Genomic DNA, 20,958 nt, shown 5'->3' on the forward strand with positions numbered 1-20,958 from the left:
TTGTAAAGAAATGCCAGCTTTGAAAATCACAGTCCTAGAGGCTTCCACACTCCCCGACATCTTCGCTACTTACAGGATTTATTTTCTGCTGTACAAAGCACCTTCAGGTATCAACTGAACATTTTTAATAAATTGGGAAGAAATAAAGTCAGAATATATCTGAATACACTCACATCACAATTCTTGACTCTCAGAGGAATCAGTTGTGTGAGAAAGGAATAGAAAAGCCCTGAGTGAGAACAAAGGTAGCCATAACACTTACTTGAAATTTGAAATCAATGTAGCAGGACACTCAACTGGATTTACAAATTCAGAAATATTGAGGGAGAAGGTTACACAAACCTAATTATATGCTATTATCCTGATCAACAAATACTTACTGAGCATCTGTTATATTTGAAAAACTGGTAGATATACTAAACCAATAATTAATTGCTTAAAAGTATTAATATGCACGGTCAATAACTTTCTTAATGGCAAAAATTAACTTGATCCTTTCTATGAAAAGTTGTAAAAATAAAGATTATATGTAAATTTTATCAATTGAATGTAGCAATTTCTATCTGCCTACCATCATTAAAGCAAACACCCTAAACCTACTTTCAGTAATCTTCCTACTATCGCCTATAACAAGAAAAGCACAACTCTTGCAGCCAGATATTTATTTTCTTTTTCTTTTATTTATTTATTTATTTTTTTTGAGACAGAGTTTCCCTCTTGTTGCCCAGTCTGGAGTGCAATGACGAGATGTAGGCTCACTGCATCCTCCGCCTCCTAGGTTCAAGCGATTCTCCTGCCTCAGCCTCCGGAGTAGCTGGGATTACAGGCATGCGCAACCATGCCTGACTAATTTTTGTATTTTTAGTAGAGATGGGGTTTCACCATGTTGGTCAGGCTGCTCTCAAACTCCTAACCTCAGGTGATCCACCCGCCTCGGCCTCCCAAATTGCTGGGATTACAAGCGTGAGCCACCGCGCCCGGCCGCGCAGCCAGATATTTCTAGGAAGGTAAACATCTTTTTTTTTTTTTTTTTAGACGGAGTTTTTCTCTTGTTGCCCAAGCTGGAGTGCAATGGCACGATCTCAGCTCACCGTAACTTGCGCCTCCCGCGTTCAAGCGATTCTCCTGCCTCAGCCACCCCAGTAGCTGGGATTACAGGCGTGCGCCACAACGCCCAACTAATTTTGTGTATTTTTAGTAGAAACGGGGTTTCACCATGTTAGCCAGGTTGGTCTCGAAATCCTGACCTCAGGTGATCCACCCACCTCGGCTTCCCAAAGTGCTGGGATTGCAGGCGTGAGCCACCGCGCCTGGCCGTAAACATGTTTTTATTTGACTCAACAATAAATTTTTGACACTCCACAATCTAAATACCATACAGATCTGCTTACCTTTTAATTTCACAGTTTCTATATTTTGCTTAATGTTAAATATAATCTCATTACATCTGGAACCCTTTCTGAGTTTTTCCAGTCCCTAGAAGGAAAAGATAAAAGCCATAGTTGGCTTACCAAACATGCAGAGGACAAGGACAGTCAGAAGGAGGAGTGCTGGTGAGTTCTGAGTACCCATGTCTGTCCTTAATCTTGATCCTGTTCTGGATGGTGGAATCAATACTGCAGCCCACTTGCATGTGCTCTCTGTAACCCAGAGAATGTTTTATTGCTCTCCTTGTATTCTCTGTCCCCTCTAAAGAATAAAAGGTGAAGTTTATCAAGTGGTATACTTTTTGCTCACAAGCCAATAAAGAAGCTGAGTTTGTTTTTCAAACTTTGTTTTAATTGGGGCTTTTGGGGCACAATGAGATGAACTTGTTAAATAGAGAAATGAATCTATTATTTCCTGCCATGAAACTGCGAAACTGTGAAAGAGTCAATCTTAGTTGCAGTTAATGGTGACTTACAGAATGGAGTCTTGAGAATGTCTATGCATCTTTACCAAGGACATGTTCATACAAAATAGGGAATTAAGATGCTTTTCCTCAGCAATTATTTGCTTTTGAATTTTGTACCTATTTGCGTAATTCCATTTAAAGTCTTAATAGAATTTTTCAAACTAAGTCTACATGCACAGCCTAGATATACTGCAGAAAAAATTGAGTTCAGAGTATAACTTTTTTCCTGTCAAGACTTGCAAACTACAATTTACTTATTGTTTGAAGATAGCAGTTTCCATGGGCTTCAAGCTTAATTAACTAACAGTGAACTATGAGCTTTGATTTTATTTTTTAAACAGTTTCATAAATGAACTTAATTATTCCATAGTGAGTACAATTTTTTTGGCATTAACAAATCAAACAGTCAAATATTTGAACTAGTTTTCTAGTGCTACCATAACAAAGTACCACAGAGTGAGTGGCTTAAATAACAGAACTTTTTTATCTTACAGGTCTGGAAGCTGGAATTTCAAAATCAAGGTTTGACAGTTGTTTCTTTCTTAGGACTGTGAGAGAAGGAGTTGATCCAGGCATCTCTACTTGCTTAGTAGGTGGTCATCTTTATGTTTACATAATGTTCTTCTTGTATGCGTGTCTGTCTCCAAATTTCCTCTTTTAATAGGAGCACCCATCATATTGAATTAGCAGTTTACCCTAATAACCTCAATTTAACTGGATTCCCTCTTTAAGGACCTCCTTCCATATAAGGTCACATTCTGATGTACTGGGGGTTAGGATCTCAGCGTATAAATTTGAGTGGGACATAATTCAGCCCATAACAGCATTTAACTGAAGAATTGGTGATAACTAGAGGGTTGATACAGTCTAAAGGTAAAACTAGCCTAAATGGTAACTTTTTTTTTTTTTTGGCTAATTCTCATTGTGCATTTATTTCTTGCCAGAGCTTTTGCTTGATGCTAGGTATTTGAAGATAAAAAAAAGTTGAATTTCTGCTGTTGACTGTATTGAGAGACCGACAGGTCAACAGATTAATCTAGAGGTAATCTGTATTATAATAGGTGTATATCTGAGACACTGTGGAGGGAAGGAGGAGGAAGAACTTCCCCAGGGGAGTCAGGGAAGACTTTACTGGAGAGGTAACACTGAACTTGTGAAAAGACAACAAGAAACTCATTATTATTTTTATTAAAAAGGTTGATATGAATTTGAGATAAAGAAATGCACAAAGTGGCACAAAGAAGATCCAGACATGTTAAGAAGGGAAAACAATCTATTTCAGTCTGAAAAGGAGATGTTGTAATAACCTGACAACATTCAATTGACTGATCAGATCTTGGCCTTTGTACAAATCGAGAAGTAGAAAATAAGCTAGAAATATTACTCAGAGACAGCCCTGATTCCATTGAATCTCATTTTCCTTCTGTACAAAGTAAAGGTAATAGAATTTTGTGCTAACACTGTGTACATGTACTACCATGATAATAAAAAGTAAATAAAGATGTTTTATTCTTTAAAATATTTATCTATACTGAGACCCAATCATAATAACAATTTTTTTATTGTACTTTCCTTTGTGCTAACATTGCTCTATGACTTTTTGTAAGTTATCTGGAAATTTTGCAAGGGGTGTTTCTAACTTACAAACAAGACAATAAAATATGAGAAAGATGAAAGATTAAAAATAGCTATGCATTCTTAGCAGCTCCTCACTTTAAGAGGGAGAATCTATTTTCCAACCCCCTTGATTCTGTGCTGACTTTATGACTTGCTTTGGCACTAGGATACTTTAAAAGTGATGTTGTAGATGTTCCAGGTGAACAAGGCAAGAAGCCTAGGAGCTTCTCTCCTACCCTGTTAGAATGCTGCTGCCAAGCTGATCCGCTAGAGACACTAGGACCAGGAAATGGGTAATACCAACAACCAGACATGTGAGTGAGGCAGCTCCAAGCAAGTCACCAAGAAACTGACTACAGCCCCATGAGTGACCCCAGGAGACACCATCAGAAGAACCACTCAGGTGATCCCAAGGTTGTTTCGTCACCTAGCCCAAACTGATGACCTTCAGAGTCATGAGTCAGAATAAAATGGTGGTTGTTTTAACAGACTGCATTTTGGAGAGACAATAGATAACTAATAAAGTAGCAAGTCAAATAAAGTGGTGTATTAGTCTGTTCTCACACTGCTGTAAAGAACTACCTGAGACTAGATAATTTATGAAGAAAAGAGGTTTAATTGACTCACAGTTCCACAGGCTGTACAGGAGGCATGGTGGGGGAGGCCTCAGGAAAGCTACAATCATGGCAAAAGGCAAAGGGGAAGCAAGCATGTCTTACGTGGTAAGAGCAGGAGGAAGTGGGAGAGTGAAGGGAGAAGGGACACACCCTTTTAAACCACCAGATCTCATGAGAACTCACTCACTATCATGAGGACAGCAAGGGGGAACTCTGCCTCCATGATCCAAACACCTCCCATTAGGAGCCTCTTCCAACACTGAGGATCACAACTCGACATGAGATTTAGGAGAGAAAACAGAGCCAAACCATATCAAGTGGCCTAACGCATTTTATCCTTGAGTTGTTTGACTACAATGTGCATTATTTTCTTTAGACCGTCCTAAAGGAGCTCATGGTATGAATGGCTGTTAGCTATTAATTAGTACCCTGACACTGGTTCTACAAATTTTAGAAAGCCAATCCTACAACCAAAATTCAAGCTAACAATCTTTAGCAGTCACGAAAATAATCTACTTTTAATGAAAATCTCCCTGTATTAAACATCAGAAAACTGAGTTCTAGCCCAATTTTGTAATAAAATAGTTCTGTGACATTTGGTAACTCCTTAATGGTCTCTGAGCCTTCACAGTTCCATTTATAAAAGGAGAAGGCTGTTTTTTCATGTGTGATCTCAAGTTTTGGACCAAATTCCTGTCTGGCTATCAAGGGATCAGTGTCTGGCCTTAACCTTTGATTGGTTTGTTCCTCTCCATACAATCTGGCTTCCTTTTTAGGGGCTTGTTGAAAGCAGCAGTAACAATTATAACTAACTTACACCTATAAAAGAAAAAAATTGCCACTTCTAATGTGGAGGACAAAAATGATGGTAGGAGTACTAACCTCTTCACAGGTCAACATGAGGTCCAGCATGTAGTTTGGTAGACTTTCTTCCCCTCACTTGAGGGCCTTATGAATTTAGATTCCAGGTTTTAATATTAAGTATAGCCAAGGAATACAAATCAGAGGCTGATGCCCTGCTATTTGGGTGATTTATGGCTCTCCTGTAAACACAGCAACTATAATTCCTTGGTTTGAGTTGGTTATACAGTTTCTGCAGAAGAATTCACACTCACAACAGCCCCTTTGTGAGGTCAAGAACTCAGTTGTGTGCAGCAATGGCCAGTGTGGTTATGCTCTCTCCTATTATGGGCTTTCACTTTTTTCTGCCTCATTTCCCATTTTCTTTCCTCCTGGTTCTCCTTAGTAAAATAGTAGTCGCATTTGGCCCAGCAACCCCATTACTGGGTATATACCCAAAGGATTATAAATCATTCTACTATAAAGACACATGCATAAGTATGTTTATTGCTGTTCACAATAGCAAAGACTTGGAACCAACCCAAATGCCCATCAATGATAGACTGGATAAAGAAAATGTGGCACATATACAGCATAGAATACTATGCAGCCATAAAAAAGGATGAGTTCATGTCCTTTGCAGGGACATGGATGAAGCTGGAGACCATCATTCTCAGCAAACTGACACAAGAACAGAAAACCAAACACCGCATGTTCTCACTCATAAGTGGTAGTTGAAAAATGAGAACACATGGACATGGGGGAGGGGGGACATCACACACTGGGGCCTGTTGGGGGTTGGGGCTGGGGGAGGGATAGCATTAGGAGAAATACCTAATGTAGATGATGGGTTGATGGGTGCAGCAAACCACCATGGCACACGTATACCTATGTAACAAACCTGCACGTTCTGCACATGTACTGCAGAACTTAAAGTGTAATAAAAATATAAATAAATAAATAATAAAATAGTAGTCATAAGCCTTTGCTGTGAGGTATAATTTCTGGGGGGCCCAATTGTCTATTTCAGGCTCCCCTAAAAGTGAGTCTGACACAAAGACTTAAGTGCAGTTTGTCTTGGAGATGATTATAGAAAGGAGTGAGGAAGTGGGGGAATGTGGAATAGGAAAGAGAAAAAAATCTAATAAAGGGTATGTAATGAATGAGATATCACTGTGGGCAATCAGAGCTCAACCTTGCCTGGAGTCTTACACAAACCTTGTAAAATGTTCCTCAGAATTGTCCCTAAGACTTCAATTTCGAGTCATATTGAAGTAAAACAGAAGTTTTAACTTCCTGTCTTAAAGAACTAGAAAACCCAAAGAATATATGAAGCAACTCCTTTTACACATTAGACAACAAACAGGGAAAGATTACAATCCCTGAGTAAAGGAAATAAACGAGATGAGATCGATGAACACCCTGGATTTTTTGCTGGTGCAATTCTGGACCACTGTGCAGGAGGAGAGATCCAAAGTAGACCATGGTAGTCTTGCTGAGTTGAGGGAGCTCAGATTTGAGTAGAGGATAACTAGGGTGTCTAGAAGTTTAGGAAAAGAGTTTGAGGAAGGAGAGATCTGTGAAGGAAACCTGAGCTCCAGAAATCTGCACTGAGGTCCCATTGGATCTGTTTGATCAATATTAAGTCACTCATGCATAGGATGAAACTCCGTAAGTTAAGCAAAGAGTAACCAGAAAATTGTCAGCTGAGCAAATCTCAGACCTAACATGGAGTGGGGAAATATTTGAGGTCTGGCCTATCAGAAAGAAGAGAACTCATGAGCACTCAGGGCATCACTAAAGGCACGGGAAGGACATGACTTAGTAGTACAGCTAAACAAACCCTAGAGTGAAGAACGTTTCCAGACCACCCTAACAAAGCTCAACAAGCCTCAAATAGATAAAGCTGATGCCCTAGTTACTTAACCACTTGACAGAACAAAACCCGAGACTCCAAAGAAGGAAAACAAATATTGACACTCAGCAACTTAAGATTCAAAATTTCCTGCAGAAATCAGCATAAGCCATAATAAGTAAAACAAAATCAAGTCAATATAGAACAATATAGAACAACAATAAAATAGTTATTACAAATATGCTCAGGGGATTAAAAGAAGGTATAATCATAATGAAGAGAGAAGTGGAATATTTTATATATTTATATATTTATTTTATTCTATTTTTATTCTATTTTATTCTAATATAAAATATTTAAAATTTATGTAGAAATGTATGAAGAGAGAAAAAGAGAAAGAAACTTCTAGAATTATCTAACCGAGAGACTGGGAAAATTGAATATTCATCCATTAACTTCTGTCCATCCTCTAAGGGTATGAAATCACAGGCCATCCTGCCTGTGAGCTGTCTGCCAAGCCTGCTTTCCCAACACCAGTTGGAGAAAGCCCTCAGGTAGAGAGGCATTATAACAGGCAGCTAAAATTGCAAAGCCGTTGTCCATTGCAACTATTGAACTCATTGGTGAGTGGAGGAGATATGCAGTGGAGCATCACTGGCGAAGACAGGATAGGCCTTTTTCTTTATTATTTATATAGGTAGCCAGGAAAGACAAACAATGTGATGTTTTTCTGGATTGCCCCCACTGTGCTATTGTGGGTCTGACATCTCAACCATCCCTCAACGTCTCTCCAGTTACTTCTGGAACACCTGACATGGTGACTCAGGAGGACTCACAAAGAAGGACTCACGATGACAGAATTAGTGTTAGACATGTCTCCTCCTCTCCTTCTCTAGCTCCCACAGTAACATTGTCAGAGGCGTTGGAACGAAGTGACTCTGTCTTAACTGAGGGCTAGGAAAAATAAGGCTGGACTGCATTTCCAGAAAGTTAGGGATTCCTAGCCTCTAGATGTTCACAGTTAAGAGAACAGATTGATAATATTTACTAAACAGATTAGAGTTAGGAGTTTCCTGATATCCCATTATCTTGAGAACAGAAGCATTCCTAATTTTGCTTTAAAGATGCCAATATCAATTCTTGCAAAATATAGTAATTAAGAATATTAATTCTTTATCACAAACTCTTGTAGCAGAGCACATTTACCCATGATCTCTTTTTCTCCTATACATAAACAAGCATTGTACCTAGGGTGAACACGTTCCTCCTCTTTCTTTTGGGAACACCCTACTCTGCCTGTGGAGTAGCTGTTCTTATACCACTTTCTTACAAAACTTGCTTTCACTTTGCTCTGTGGACTCACCCTGAATTCTCTCTGCCCAAGATCCAGGAACCCTCTCTTGGGGTCTGGGTTGAGACCCCTTTCTGGTAACATCTTTCTGGTGACCATGAAGGGACAATACTGAGGAGAACCTTGACCCAAAGGAAATAGACTGCAGTACCAATTAGCTGACTTTGGGTAAGCAGTGGAGTGCCCAGCTAAAGGATGGGATTAGATTAGAGGCCCAATTTAGGGGAGTTAGAGTCTCTCTTGACAGAGAGGATTAAAGTTTCCTCTTAATAAAAGGCAAGGACACTTGACTGAACCTGGGTTTCAGGCCCAACTTTGGAGGCTAGAGTCCTTCCTAAGATTTATGGGGTTAGAGGGCCCTCAGTAAAGTTCCTCTTGGCTAAGAATAGGTTTGGCATCAGGGGATGTTAACTGCTATGCTGTTTGTATTTATCTGCCTTGTCCTCTTTGCTGCATGAATCCATTTTTTGGGCACTGTCTCTGTTTCACTGTCATTTTCAGGAGACTTCATTTAACTGATCTTAGAGATTTTAACTTTCTCTAAAATTGCTGATGAAGATTTGGTATTTAAGCAATAAGATTACATAAATGTGGTTATGTTTTGTTGCAATCACTAGGCGTGATCGAGAAGCACTAGGATGGAAATCAGGGGACCTTTCTCCTTGCTGTTTTGTTTCATTTGCACACTAAAAACACTTCTTATCTTTTCAAAATTTGGACAAATCAGTTTTGCTTGTCCAATCCACACTACAACTATTGCCCAGAGCCTACTTGCTCTGGTCATTTCCATCTAAATCCCCTTCATTTCCTTTGCCTTATTTGACATTTCTTTCATTGGGTACTATGTGGTGGTTTATCTAAGATTCATGGCTCAGCTCATTTACATTATTTGGCTAGTGTGGATAAGATAATTCAATTTTCAGCAGCGATCTCATTAATGCAGCTGGCCTCAAAAACCTCTCCTATCCTTTTTAGTGGAACTTGGCCAGTGGCAATACAATCTCACTGGTTTGGAACTTTTCTTTCAACATCACCTGCCTCCTTCATGGGAACCATGACATTGATCCCAAAGGACTTATCACTAGGATGTATCCTTGAACACTGAGATCTGTTTAAAATAAATGGGATTAAGGAGAAAATTGGTGAATTACTGTTTCTATGTAATACTGTTTGGCCTCAGTATTATTTGGAAAAACAAAAGAAATGGTCTCCTATTGGAAGTACAGCCTTTAATAATATAGTATATAATTAAATATGTAATATTTAATATTATAGTATATAATATACTATAATAATATAAGTATAATATTATAGTATAATTCAACCTGATTTGCTTTGTAAGTGGGATGAAACATGGGATGAAATACCATGCGTTCAAGCATTTTTGCTGCTCAGTCAGGATAAAACCCTGCAACAGGCATGTGCATGTTTGATGAAAGGAAAGGAAGAAAAAGAACTAGACATACTAGACAATCTCTTGATGCAAGCCCCCACAGGCCAGCAGACACTTTTTGGTGGAGCAGAACCTCCTTCTCTCAGCTATGAAGGTTCAGGTGTGTCAGCCCATTCTCCCCTCTGTCCACCTGAAAGTTCTGCTGAGACCCCTTAGTCCCTTCCTCCTTACCTGTCTAGTCCCACTCTATACCCACCAATCCCTGAGTAACCTAGCCCTGTGGGTACTACTTGTAGTGGAGCCTCTTATCAACCTCCAAAGGGAAATGTTTGTCCACTTAGAGAGGTGACAAATGGGGAAGAAGGCATTGTAAGAGTACATGTCCCCTTTTCTATGTCTGATTTGACTCTGTGTAAAAAAAAGTTTGGTCATTTCTCTGAAGATCCAGGAAAATTCATAAATGAGTTTGAGAAATTAACTCTGACCTATAGTTTGACTTGGCAGAATCTGCATGTTGGTTGTCTCTGTGTTGTACAGTGGGAGAGAAACATTGCATTTTGGGGACAGCTAGGACCCACACAGATGAGATATTGACTCATAGCCCTAACCATAATATATATCAGGCGGGAGATGCAGCAGTTCCGGATCAAGATCTGGAATGGAACTATCATCAAAGGGGCAGTGAGGACTTGGGGAGGAGCACTCATATGGTTCCTTGTTTGTTGGAAGGGATGAAGAAGTGTATGAAAAAGCGTATTAACTATGAAAAGATTGAGGAAGTTTCTCAGGGAAAAGATAAGTATCCAGCTTTGCTTCACGGGTGTTTAGTTGAGGCAATTCGGAAGTGTACTAACACTAATTCTGACTCAAAAAAAAAGGACAAACCCTTTTGGGAGTACATTTTATAACCCAGTCTGACACTGATATCTGTATGAAACTACAAAAAGCAGCTATGGGTCCCTAGACCCCTATGGATCAGCTATTGTTGTTGTTTTGTAATAATTTTTTATTTTATAGAAAAATGTAATTATGCAATGGTTATCAGGGAAGTTAATTCAGTAATAAGTATGTAGGCTAGAGAATAGTTTTCAAATATTCAGTCAATACCAACAAAATCCTGTATGATTTACAGAACTGATCAAGCAAACACAAGAAAACTCTGGTTTAATTTCTATGAACTATCAAACGAAGAAAATGCTCTTCTATCTCAAATAAACCAGGTTTGAATGATAGCTTTTCAATATAAAAAAGACACGCACACACACTCACACACACACAATAAAGACAAAATATCTCTTCTCATTCTAAAACACTTCCTCTTTTAGTCCATATATACTTTGAATAATCTCGTGTAGTAAATCTTTGCTACAACAATGTTCAAAGTCAATCTCTCCTGGTTTGGTGTTCTAAGAAGCCAATAGACATAACAGTAAGAGCATTAATACTACTTCCAGAATCTATAAAATCCCAATGCTATTGCCAGGCAAATAAACACCAAGGCTGCAAGATAACGAATTGTCTCAAGTTTGTTAGACTCCATCAGTGTTTTTAAGGAAGCAATTTCTGCGTCAATTTTATTACTGGTCTCTGAAGTAATACTTTTGGTTTGGGTATCCTTTTTTGTAAATTCTGTAGTTGCTTCCATAAGTTGCTTTTCTTGATCTGTAAACATATCTGTTACTCTGCTCCTTTCTAGGTTGATATCCAGTTTATTATTTGCTCTGATTCAACTGGTTTCATGTATTAGTTGTTGCTTAACTTGGTCTAATTCAATTTTCATTTTCTCATTCTCTGCTCTGAGATTTGCGAATTCACTTTTCTCTAGGCTGACCATGTTTTTCCTGATAGAGTCCAAATGAGCCATTAGCTGTTGTACTGTTATTTTCTGTTGAGCTTGAGTGACCGTCTCTTTATAGGTAGTATCCGGGCTGACATTTGATAAAGTAGTTAATGCTGATACTGTTGTTTCTGCTTGTGTTTTGTCAAATCCAAGAGTTTCCAAGTCCTGAACCAACGCATGGGTATCAAAAGTTAATTTCCTTTCTTCTAAAGGAGTTATATCCACTGGCAGCCTATCATATCCCTCCTTGGTTGTGGTGCTGAAGAAGTCTCTCTGCAGGCTTTTGAATATGGCATTTTTAGTTTTTAATAACAGGGGCAGAACAAAGGAAGCAGAAAGAGCAAAAAGGACCTCCCAAAAGGTGCAGCTATTAGCTGCAGCCTTAAGCTCACCTCCCACGTGGGATTGCCCTCCTGGTTCTTAGCCTGAACAAGGGAAGCGAAAAGGTGGAAAACATAAAACTGGGCATCCACGTCACGATGGCTTTGGCATAAATCAGTGTGTGCATTGTAAAAAAAAACTGGACATTGGAAGAGGAAATGCCCAGTACTCGAAAGGGAGCCATTGGCACCTGAATCAATGGTGGCTGAAATAGCCAAGCAAGCCCAAGAGGCATTCTGCCACATCTCCTATTGGACAATGGAATATATCTCCAGAAGAGCCACAGGTAACCCTTGAAGTGGCAGGTAAGAATATTAACTTTTGGGTTGGGTGCAGTGGCTCATGCCTGTAATTCCAGCACATTGGGAGGCCAAGGTGGGTGAATCACCTGAGGTCAGGAGTTCAAGACCAGCCTGGCCAACATGGTGAAACTCTCTCTACTAAAAATACAAAAACTAGCTGGGTATGGTGGCAGGTGCCTGTAATTCCAGCTATTCAGGAGGCTGAGGCAGGAGAATCACTTGAACCTGGGAGTCGGAGGTTGCAGTGAGCCAAGATTGCATCACTGCACTCCAGCCTGGGGGACAGAGTGAGACTCAGTCTCAAAAAAAAAAAAAAAAAAAGAAAGAAAGAAAGAAAGAAAAAGAATATTAACTTCCTTTTGGACATGGAATTGCTTACTCTGTTTTGACCCATTATAGTGGGCTTCCATCACCCCAAAACTGTATGGTCACAGGGATAGATGAACAAGCCCATACATGCCATTTTACCTATCCTTTAAGCTGCTCTTCAGAGACTTTAGTTTCCTCACATGCCTTTCTTTTCATGCCTGAATGCTCCTTGTTGGAAATGCCCCTTGTTGGGAATGCCCCTTGTTGGGAATGCCCCTTGTTGGGAAGGGATTTGATGGCTCAGCTGCAAACAGTGGTATCTCTTGGAAATCACAAGGCAGATGAGGGTTTGTTCCTTCTGCTTTCCTGTGATAAGGGAGGAAAGACAATGGGAGACATCTACTTCCCAAGTAAATCCTATAGTATGGGACACTGAGGTTTCAGGCAAAGTGTTAAATGTTCTCCTGATTTGTATCCAACTTAAACCTGATGTCCTGTACCCCTGGAAGAGACAATACCCCTTAAAGCTAGAGGCACAAAGAGGGATCCAACCATTAATAGCTAAGTTTTTGCAATTCGGGTTGTTAAACCTCTGTGAGTCTCGTTGTAATACACCAATCGTACCAGTTAAAAAACCAAATGGACACCATAGATTTGGTCAAGAACTTCAAGCTTTCAATGAGGCTGTCATTCCCATACATCCTATAGTGCCCAATCCCTACGTGCTGTTAGCCTGGGTCCCATCCCTGGGGATGCCAATTTGTTTACAGAGTTAGATCTTAAAGATGTCTTTTTGTTTTTTTTTTTTTTGTTTTTTGTTTTTTTTGGCATTGCAGTACTCCCTGATTCACAATTCATCTTGGCTTTTGAATGGATTGATCCTGACAGTCATTTGGTTTATCAATGAACTTGGACAGTTCTTCCCCAGGTATTTAGGGGCAGCCCTTATCTGTTTGGAAATGCATTGGCTAGAGAATTAAGGATGTTACACTTAAATAGGGGCATTATTATCCAATATGTGGATGATGTGTTGGTTGCTAGCCCAACCAAAAGAAACTTGGACGAAAATACCTTTAAGTTGCTAAATTTTCTGGGAGCTAATGTGTATAGGGTCTCACAGCAGAGGGCCCAGATTTCAACTCAAGAGGCTAAATACTTAGGATATGTCCTAACCCCTGGCACCCAGGCAATAGTACCAGAACAAAAGGAAGCTATCTTGGGCATTCCAAAACCCCAAACTAGAAAGCAGCTGCGAGCTTTTCTAGCAGTGTCAGGATTGGGGCATATGGTCAAGCCTTTATATGATGCCCTGAAAGGAGCGAATGTAGATTCTTTAGAATGGAATAGCAATTGTAAACAAGCTTTTAATGCTTTCAAGGAAAAATTGGGATCAGCTCCAGTCCTACGGATCCCTAATTTTGATAAGCCATTTTTCTCTTATGTGGCTAAGAAACAAGGAACCACGCTGGGTGTCCTTATCCAGAAACTAGGAGATATCCCCGAACCAGTGATATATTTTTTTTAAACAATTAGACCATGTCACTTCAGGATGACCTGAATGCCTCAGGGCAGTTGCAGCAACTGCTCTTTTAGGAGATGAAGTCAATAAAATGGCTTTAGGACAACATCTGGAAGTTTTAACCCCACATCAAGTACAAGGAGTCCTAGAAGCTAAAGGACACCAGTAGATGACAGGAGGTACTTATTGAAATATCAGGCTTTGTTGCTAAACATTCCTCATGCAACCCTTAAGATACGCCAGACTTTAAATCCAGCTACCTATCTGCCTGAACCCACTGGCACCCTGTATCATTCTCGTATACAAGTAATGCACCAAGTTTATTCCAGCTGGCTGGATTTAAATGATGAGCCTCTAGATAATCCTGAAGTAGAATGTTTTATAGATAGAAGTAGCTTTGTGCGCCAGGGACACAGAAAAGCTGGGTATGCTGTTGTCAGTCAACACAAGGTAATTAAGTCTCAGGCCTCACCAACTTCTACCTCAGCTCAAAAGGCAGAATGAATAGCTCTTGCTAATAGCCCTGCAATTATTAATAGCTCATATTAATAGCCCTGCAATTGGGAAATGACTTAGTAATTAACATTTGTACTGATTCTATGTATGCCATTCTGGTGCTTCATGCTCATGGAAGGAATGGGGAGAATGAGGACTCCTAATTGCTGAGGGTTCCCCTGTGAAACATCACTTAAACATTTTAAATCTATTAGATGCTGTTTTGCTGACCAAGGAAGTAGCTATAATCCATTGCAGAGGGCATCCAAAAGGAGACTCTAGTGTGGCTAAGGGAAACTCCTTTGCAGATGCAGGAGCTAAGGCAGCTGCATTAAAGCAGCCAGTTGGACTTGTAGGCATGTTAGTGCCCTCTGCCCTGGTAATGACAGAACCAAGATATACTAAAGAGGAATAAGAATGGGCTAAAGGTCAGGGTTTAATTCAAGATCCTTCTGGCTGACTTATCAATGACAACAAATTATTGATACCAGGTGCTAATCAGTGGAAAATAGTTAAGCATTTGCATGACTCTACTCATTTGGGAAGAGATTCCTTCTTTCAATTAATGTCTCTCTCTCTCTTTTTTTTTATTTTTGAGACAGAGTTTCACTCTTGTTGCCCAGGCTGTAGTGCAATGGCACAATCTCAGCTCACCACAACCTCCACCTCCTGTGTTCAAGTGATTCTCCTGCCTCAGCCTCCTGAGTAGCTGGGATTACAGGCATGCGCCACCACGTCTGGCTAATTTTGTATTTTTAGTAGAGACAGGGTTTCTCTGTGTTGGTCAGGCTGGTCTCAAACTCCTCACCTCAGGTGATCCATGCGCCTCAGCCTCCCAAAGTGCTAGGATTACAGGCATGAACCACCGCTCCCAGCCAATGTCTCGTCTTTTTATAGGAAAAGGCTTACTTACTTAGAACAGTAAAGCAGGTAACTCAGTCCTGTGAACTCTGTGCCCAGAATAACCCAAATAACCAACCTTTTCCTTCTCCTTTAGTAAGGTCTGTTCAGCATAGTGGAATGTATGCCAGTGAAGATTGACTAGTAGATTATGCTCAGATGTCCCCATGTAAAGGATTTAAATATTTATTAGTATTCATCAATCCTTTACTGGTTGGACTGAGGCTTTTCCTACCTGGTCTGAAAAGACAAGGTTTCTAACCTCCTATGAAAGGCAATAATTCCTAGATTTAGGCTGTCTAATAGCTTGCAAAACAATAATGGCCCATCTTTCACAGTGACAATTAGCCAAAACATAACTTCGGCCCTAGGAATTAAGTACCTCCTTCATTTAGTATGGATGCCACCATCTTCAGAAAAAGTGGAAAGAGCTAATCAAACTAAAAAGTACTATGCCAGGAAACACCAGAAACCGGACTATCTATATTGCCTGTAGCCTTGTTATGGGTTTAAGCTGTTCCCAAGAGAAATCTATAGTGCAACACTTTAGAAATGATGTATGGAAGGCCTTTCTTAACTACAGACTTCCTGATTGACATAGATACTTTCAAGTACAAAATTATGTAATCAACTTAGGACAAATGCAAAAGGTGCTCCTTGAATATGGAAATCAAAGACTCCCTTCCCCTACTAAGGAAGAGAATATTGTTACAACCCAGCCAGGAGACCGGGTCCTATTAAAAATTGGAAGGAAGGATCCCCAGCAGATCAACTTTCACCCAAAATGAAAGGGATCCTATCAAGTTCTCCTTAGTACCCCAACTGCAGTTAAATTTCTAGGAATAAACAGCTGGGTTCACTTATCTCGAATGAAACCTGTCTCTTATAAAGTCCCACAGGCCAACAAAACACAAAAGACTGATCCCACTTATTCCTGTGGGCCAACCCATGACCTCCAGCTCCTGTTCAAAAGAAACAAAAGGAATGGGTAACATAAAGATATGGATTGGCATTCTATTTTTGGGTATAAGCTGGAATCACACAAAGAGTAACTTATTTGCTAAGTGGGCAGACTGTAGCCTCTCTACATAATCCAACAGTTTGTTGGACTATGTAGAGAATTGCCATTTTCCTTCACTTCCAGGTTGCCCTGGCATATTCAACCAGCAAACCTAAGTTTATGGGGATTTTATTATGATTGGGAAACTGAGCATTATAAATATAGTCCCTCTTTTCTCATGTACCATAGCCACACAGGCCTTAGGCCCTTCCTCACTTATGGAGAGACAAGAAGGCACCTTTTTCATCTAATTAGGAAACAGCTAAATGGCACCTCGACTTTAGGTTACACTGTACACAATAGACTTGGGTGGATGACAGTTGTTCAAGCACAGGTATCAGGCAAAACACCTCTATGTTTTGAAAGATGCATTAATAGTCACCACCAGACTGAAACCCGCAATATGGGATGGTTGCCACCTCAACAATGTAATCAGACCCTTCTTTTAACAGACCAAATGTGGGTAGGATGGCAACACAATTTGCAAAAAATAGATGCCCACCCTTCCCCTTGGGGATGGTTATGGGCTTGTGGAACTCATGGCTGGTTGTATTTACTTTATAGTTGGACTTGAAAGTTGTCCTTATCTCCTGGGACTTACCCTCAACAAATTGGACTCTCTCCTGTCTAACTGGGATACTGTAAAGGCTCGCCATAGGGCAACAAAAACAGGCTTCTTGGTGGTTCTATCTGATGCTGTATTTTCCCCACAGGCAGCCATAATCAATATCAAGTTACAAGTTAAAGCCTTAGCCAAGCACATGGCTGCAGCTTTCAATAATACACGCCATGCCCTTACCCTCCTAACTGAGGAAACTTCTCAGATTAGGCAGGTGGCCTTACAAAACCATGTGACTTTGAACATTTTAATAGCAGTCCAAGGGGGAACCTGTGCTTTGATCAAAACTGAATGTTGGGCTAGGCGCAGTGGCTCAGGCCTGTAATCCCAGCACTTTGGGAGGCCATGGTAGGCGGATCACCTGAGGTTGGACTTTGAGGCCAGCCTGACCAACATAGAGAAACCCCATCTCTACTAAAAACACAAAATTAGCCAGGCGTGATGGTGCATGCTTGTAATCCCAGCTACTCGGGAGGCTGAGGCAGGAGAATCGCTTGAACCCAGGAGGCGGAGTTTGTGGTGAGCCGAGATCACACCATTGCATTACAGCCTGGGCAATAAGAGTGAAACTCCGTCTCAAACAAACAAATGAACAAACAAAACACAAGTGTTGTGTGTATGCTCCAGACTATTCCCATAATATTACCCGGGCTATGAAAGCTCTAGATACTCATATCTTTGCCACTGATGCACTGCCAGTTGACCCTATATCAACTTGGTTCCAACCACTACCCAGTTCTTGGAAAGCCTTCCTTTTTAGTTTACTTAGGATGATTTTACTTATTTTGCTTTGCTGTTGTGGAATATATACAATTGTACTCTTTATGTGGGAACGCAAGACAAGCTTACTCAATACTTTCTTAAGTTGGATACATTAATTTTCCAGATTTCGCCTTTTGCTGGGACTAATTTATGAACAACCCTCACCATACCGAGGCTTTCTGACTGAGTTCCTCTCTACCTTGAATAAAAGAGACTCTAATAATTAGGCAGGAATATCATCGCCCCTGTTCAGCCTAAGGAAGTTACAAAAGACTGATCTTTGTCTATCTGCCACCCTTAGGATTAAGGGTCCTCTTATAAAGGAAGTGGGGAAATATGTCAGAGGTATTCAAACTAGAGTAACTCCACCTTAAGTGAAGGGTTAAGAAAACATAAGGCTGGGACTTGCTGGGCTGCATTCCCAGAAAGTTAGGTATTCCTAGCCTCTAGAAGTTTACAGTTAAGGGAACAGATTGATAACATGTACTAAACAGACCCAGACTTAGGAGTTTCCTGGTATCCCAATATCTAGAGAACAGAAGCATTCCTAATTTTGCTTTAAAGATACTAATATCAATTCTTGCAAAATATAGTAATTAAGAAAATTAAACCTTCCTCGCAAACTCTTGTAGCAGAGCATATCTCCCCTTGATCTATTTTTGTCTTATACATAAACAAGCATTGTACCTAGGGTGAACACGTTCCTCCTCTTACTTTCAGGAACGTCCTACTCTGTCTATGGAGTAGCTGTTCTTTCACCACTTTACTCTCTTAACAAACTTACTTTCGCTTTGCATTGTTGACCCACCCTGAATTCTTTCTGTTGAGATCCAAGAACCCTCATTTAGGGTCTAAATTGGGGCACCCTTCTGGTAACATTTTTCTGGTGACCATGAAGGGAAAATACTGAGGAGACCCCCAACCCAAAGGAAATAGACTGCAGTACCAACTAGCTGATTGGGTAAGTGGTTGGGTACCTGGGTAAAGGATGGGATTGGGTTAGAGGCCCAACTTAGGGGAGTTAGAGTCCCCCCAACAGAGAGAGTTAAAGACCCCTCTTGTAAAAGGCAAGGACACTTGACTGAACCTGGGTTCCAGGCCCAACTTTGGAAGGTTAGAGTCCTTCCTAAGATTTATGGGATTAGAGGACCCTTTCAGTAAAGTTCCTCTTGGCTAAGAATAGGTTTGGCACCAGGGGATGTTAACTGCTATGCTGTTTGCATTTATCTGCCTTGTCCTCTTTGCTGCATGCATCAATTTTTTGGTCGCTATCTCTGCTTCACTGTCATTTTCAGGAGATTTCATTTAATTGGTCTTAGAGATTTTAACTTTCTGTTCCCCTGTGTGTCTCCTGATTTACATCCATTTGCTTGTGAAACATCGGGAAGAAAAACATTGAAGGTTCCATCTCTAAAATTGCTGATGGAGATTTAGCATTTAAGCAATAAGATTACGTGGATGTGACTATGTTTTGTTTCTTAATAAACTTGCTTTTGCTTTGCATTGTGGACGTGCTCTGAACTCTTTCTTGTGTGAGATCCAAAAACCCTCTCTTGGGTCTGGATCCAGACTTTTTTCCGGTAACATTGGTCAGGAAACTGCAGTCACTGTGGTCATTGCTGTTTCCTGCTGATGGCCTCTCAAAACTGTGATGTATCATGTAGCATTCTTCCCCTACTTCCTTCACCCTGTGACCACCACCTCAAATAGGCTTGTGTCCCACTTCCTGCCATAACACGTTCTATAGGAGACTGCGTGGTACTTGCAACTTCTTGGCAATTTGGTGTGAAAAGCACAATTTTCACATCTACTTGATCTAAGATGGAGACCCAGACAATGTCCATGGAGTTGGCCTGAGGACCAATGACAAGGACCATGTTTCCAAAGCCTCCATAACATTTAATCCCTGCAACACTTCAGAAGGCTCCTTCTGTTATTATCTTCATCTATAGAAGGGGAAATGAGGTTGAGTGAAGTAAAGAAACTTGCCCAAGATCACAGTGACAGAGCTGGAATTTACTCCAATGTCAGTGTGATCCTTTGAAACCTGTCTTTAACCACCATGTGAATAAAATCATCTCTTTTATTCTTTTTACATTCCCTGTTCCATATTAGCAAGAGTTAAGTAGCCAGTACAGCAAGCTCCAATGTTATAGGATGAGGACTTTGTCTTAGGTTTATGGCTTGGTTTTATTGAACCCTTGGGTGCCACTTGTAAACATTTTCCAGTGTCCTCTAACTTGGGGTTAGGGAGTGAAGACTACCATTTATGGAGCTTCTCGAATAGGTTGCATTTTTTTTTTCTTTTTTTGAGACGGAGTCTCACTCTGTCACCCAGGCTGGAGTGCAGTGGCACGATCTCGGCTCACTGCAAGCTCTGTCTCCCAGGTTCACACCATTCTCCTGCCTCAGCCTCGCTAGTAGCTGGGACTACAGGGGCCCACCACCACGCCAGCTAATTTTTTTTGTATTTTTAGTAGAGACGGGGTTTCACCATGTTAGCCAGGATGGTCTTGATCTCCTGACCTCGTGATCCACCCACCTCGGCCTCCCAAAGTGCTGAGATTACAGGTGTGAGCCACCACACCCGGCTGCATTTATTTACTTATGTATAGTTTACAAATATTCTTCTTTCTCATCTCATTTATAATTAACTAATAACCTTGGAATTATTAAGAGATTGTTGTTTTTAACCTATTTAGCTGTGAGAAAGGCTCACAGAGGTTGTTTCTTGCTACTTAAAGGTTGTTCCCTTATTTACCCAGCTACTTGGGACAATCCAGAACTTGATCTCAAGTACTGGGGCTGCCAGCCTCACCTTCTTGCCTGTGCTAGAGGCAGTTACCCAAGGTTCAGAATTCCTGAATGAGTCCTGAATCAGAGACAAGTAGATACCTCATGCATGCACCATTGTCCTTCCTTTTCAGGTTTGGAGTGTGGTTTCTTTTAGATTATTGAGGTCTTTCTTCCTTTGACATGACAATTGTGTTTCTGTCCTGAAAACCTGGTGTGCTGCTGTCATCCTGGGGCAGCACTGAATACAAAGTTCCCCAGAGGGCAAACGCTATATGAGGTCCCATCAAAATTCCACTAGGAAGGATGCAAACTAATGCAGTCAAATCTTAGAAGCATTGTGTTTGGTATATTGCTATAAAGGATTGAAACAACATTAAACTTAGTGCTAGTTACTTATATTTGAAGGTT

General features: G+C 40.5%; 1 pseudogene, besides 1 other annotated feature; it reads right to left on the reverse strand.

The window, feature by feature from the left end:
- On the reverse strand, positions 11,015–11,689 carry LOC643014 (coiled-coil domain containing 90B pseudogene; annotated as a pseudogene).
- Positions 20,609–20,903: a silencer, noted in NCBI's record as "tiled region #7725; HepG2 Repressive non-DNase unmatched - State 24:Quies". NCBI's record gives its function as "represses a minimal TATA promoter and a strong SV40 promoter by Sharpr-MPRA in HepG2 cells {active_cell/tissue: HepG2}" and the evidence as "EXISTENCE:reporter gene assay evidence [ECO:0000049][PMID:27701403]".

This window comes from Homo sapiens, chromosome 4, assembly GCF_000001405.40.
Source record: "Homo sapiens chromosome 4, GRCh38.p14 Primary Assembly".
Lineage (NCBI taxonomy): Eukaryota > Metazoa > Chordata > Mammalia > Primates > Hominidae > Homo > Homo sapiens.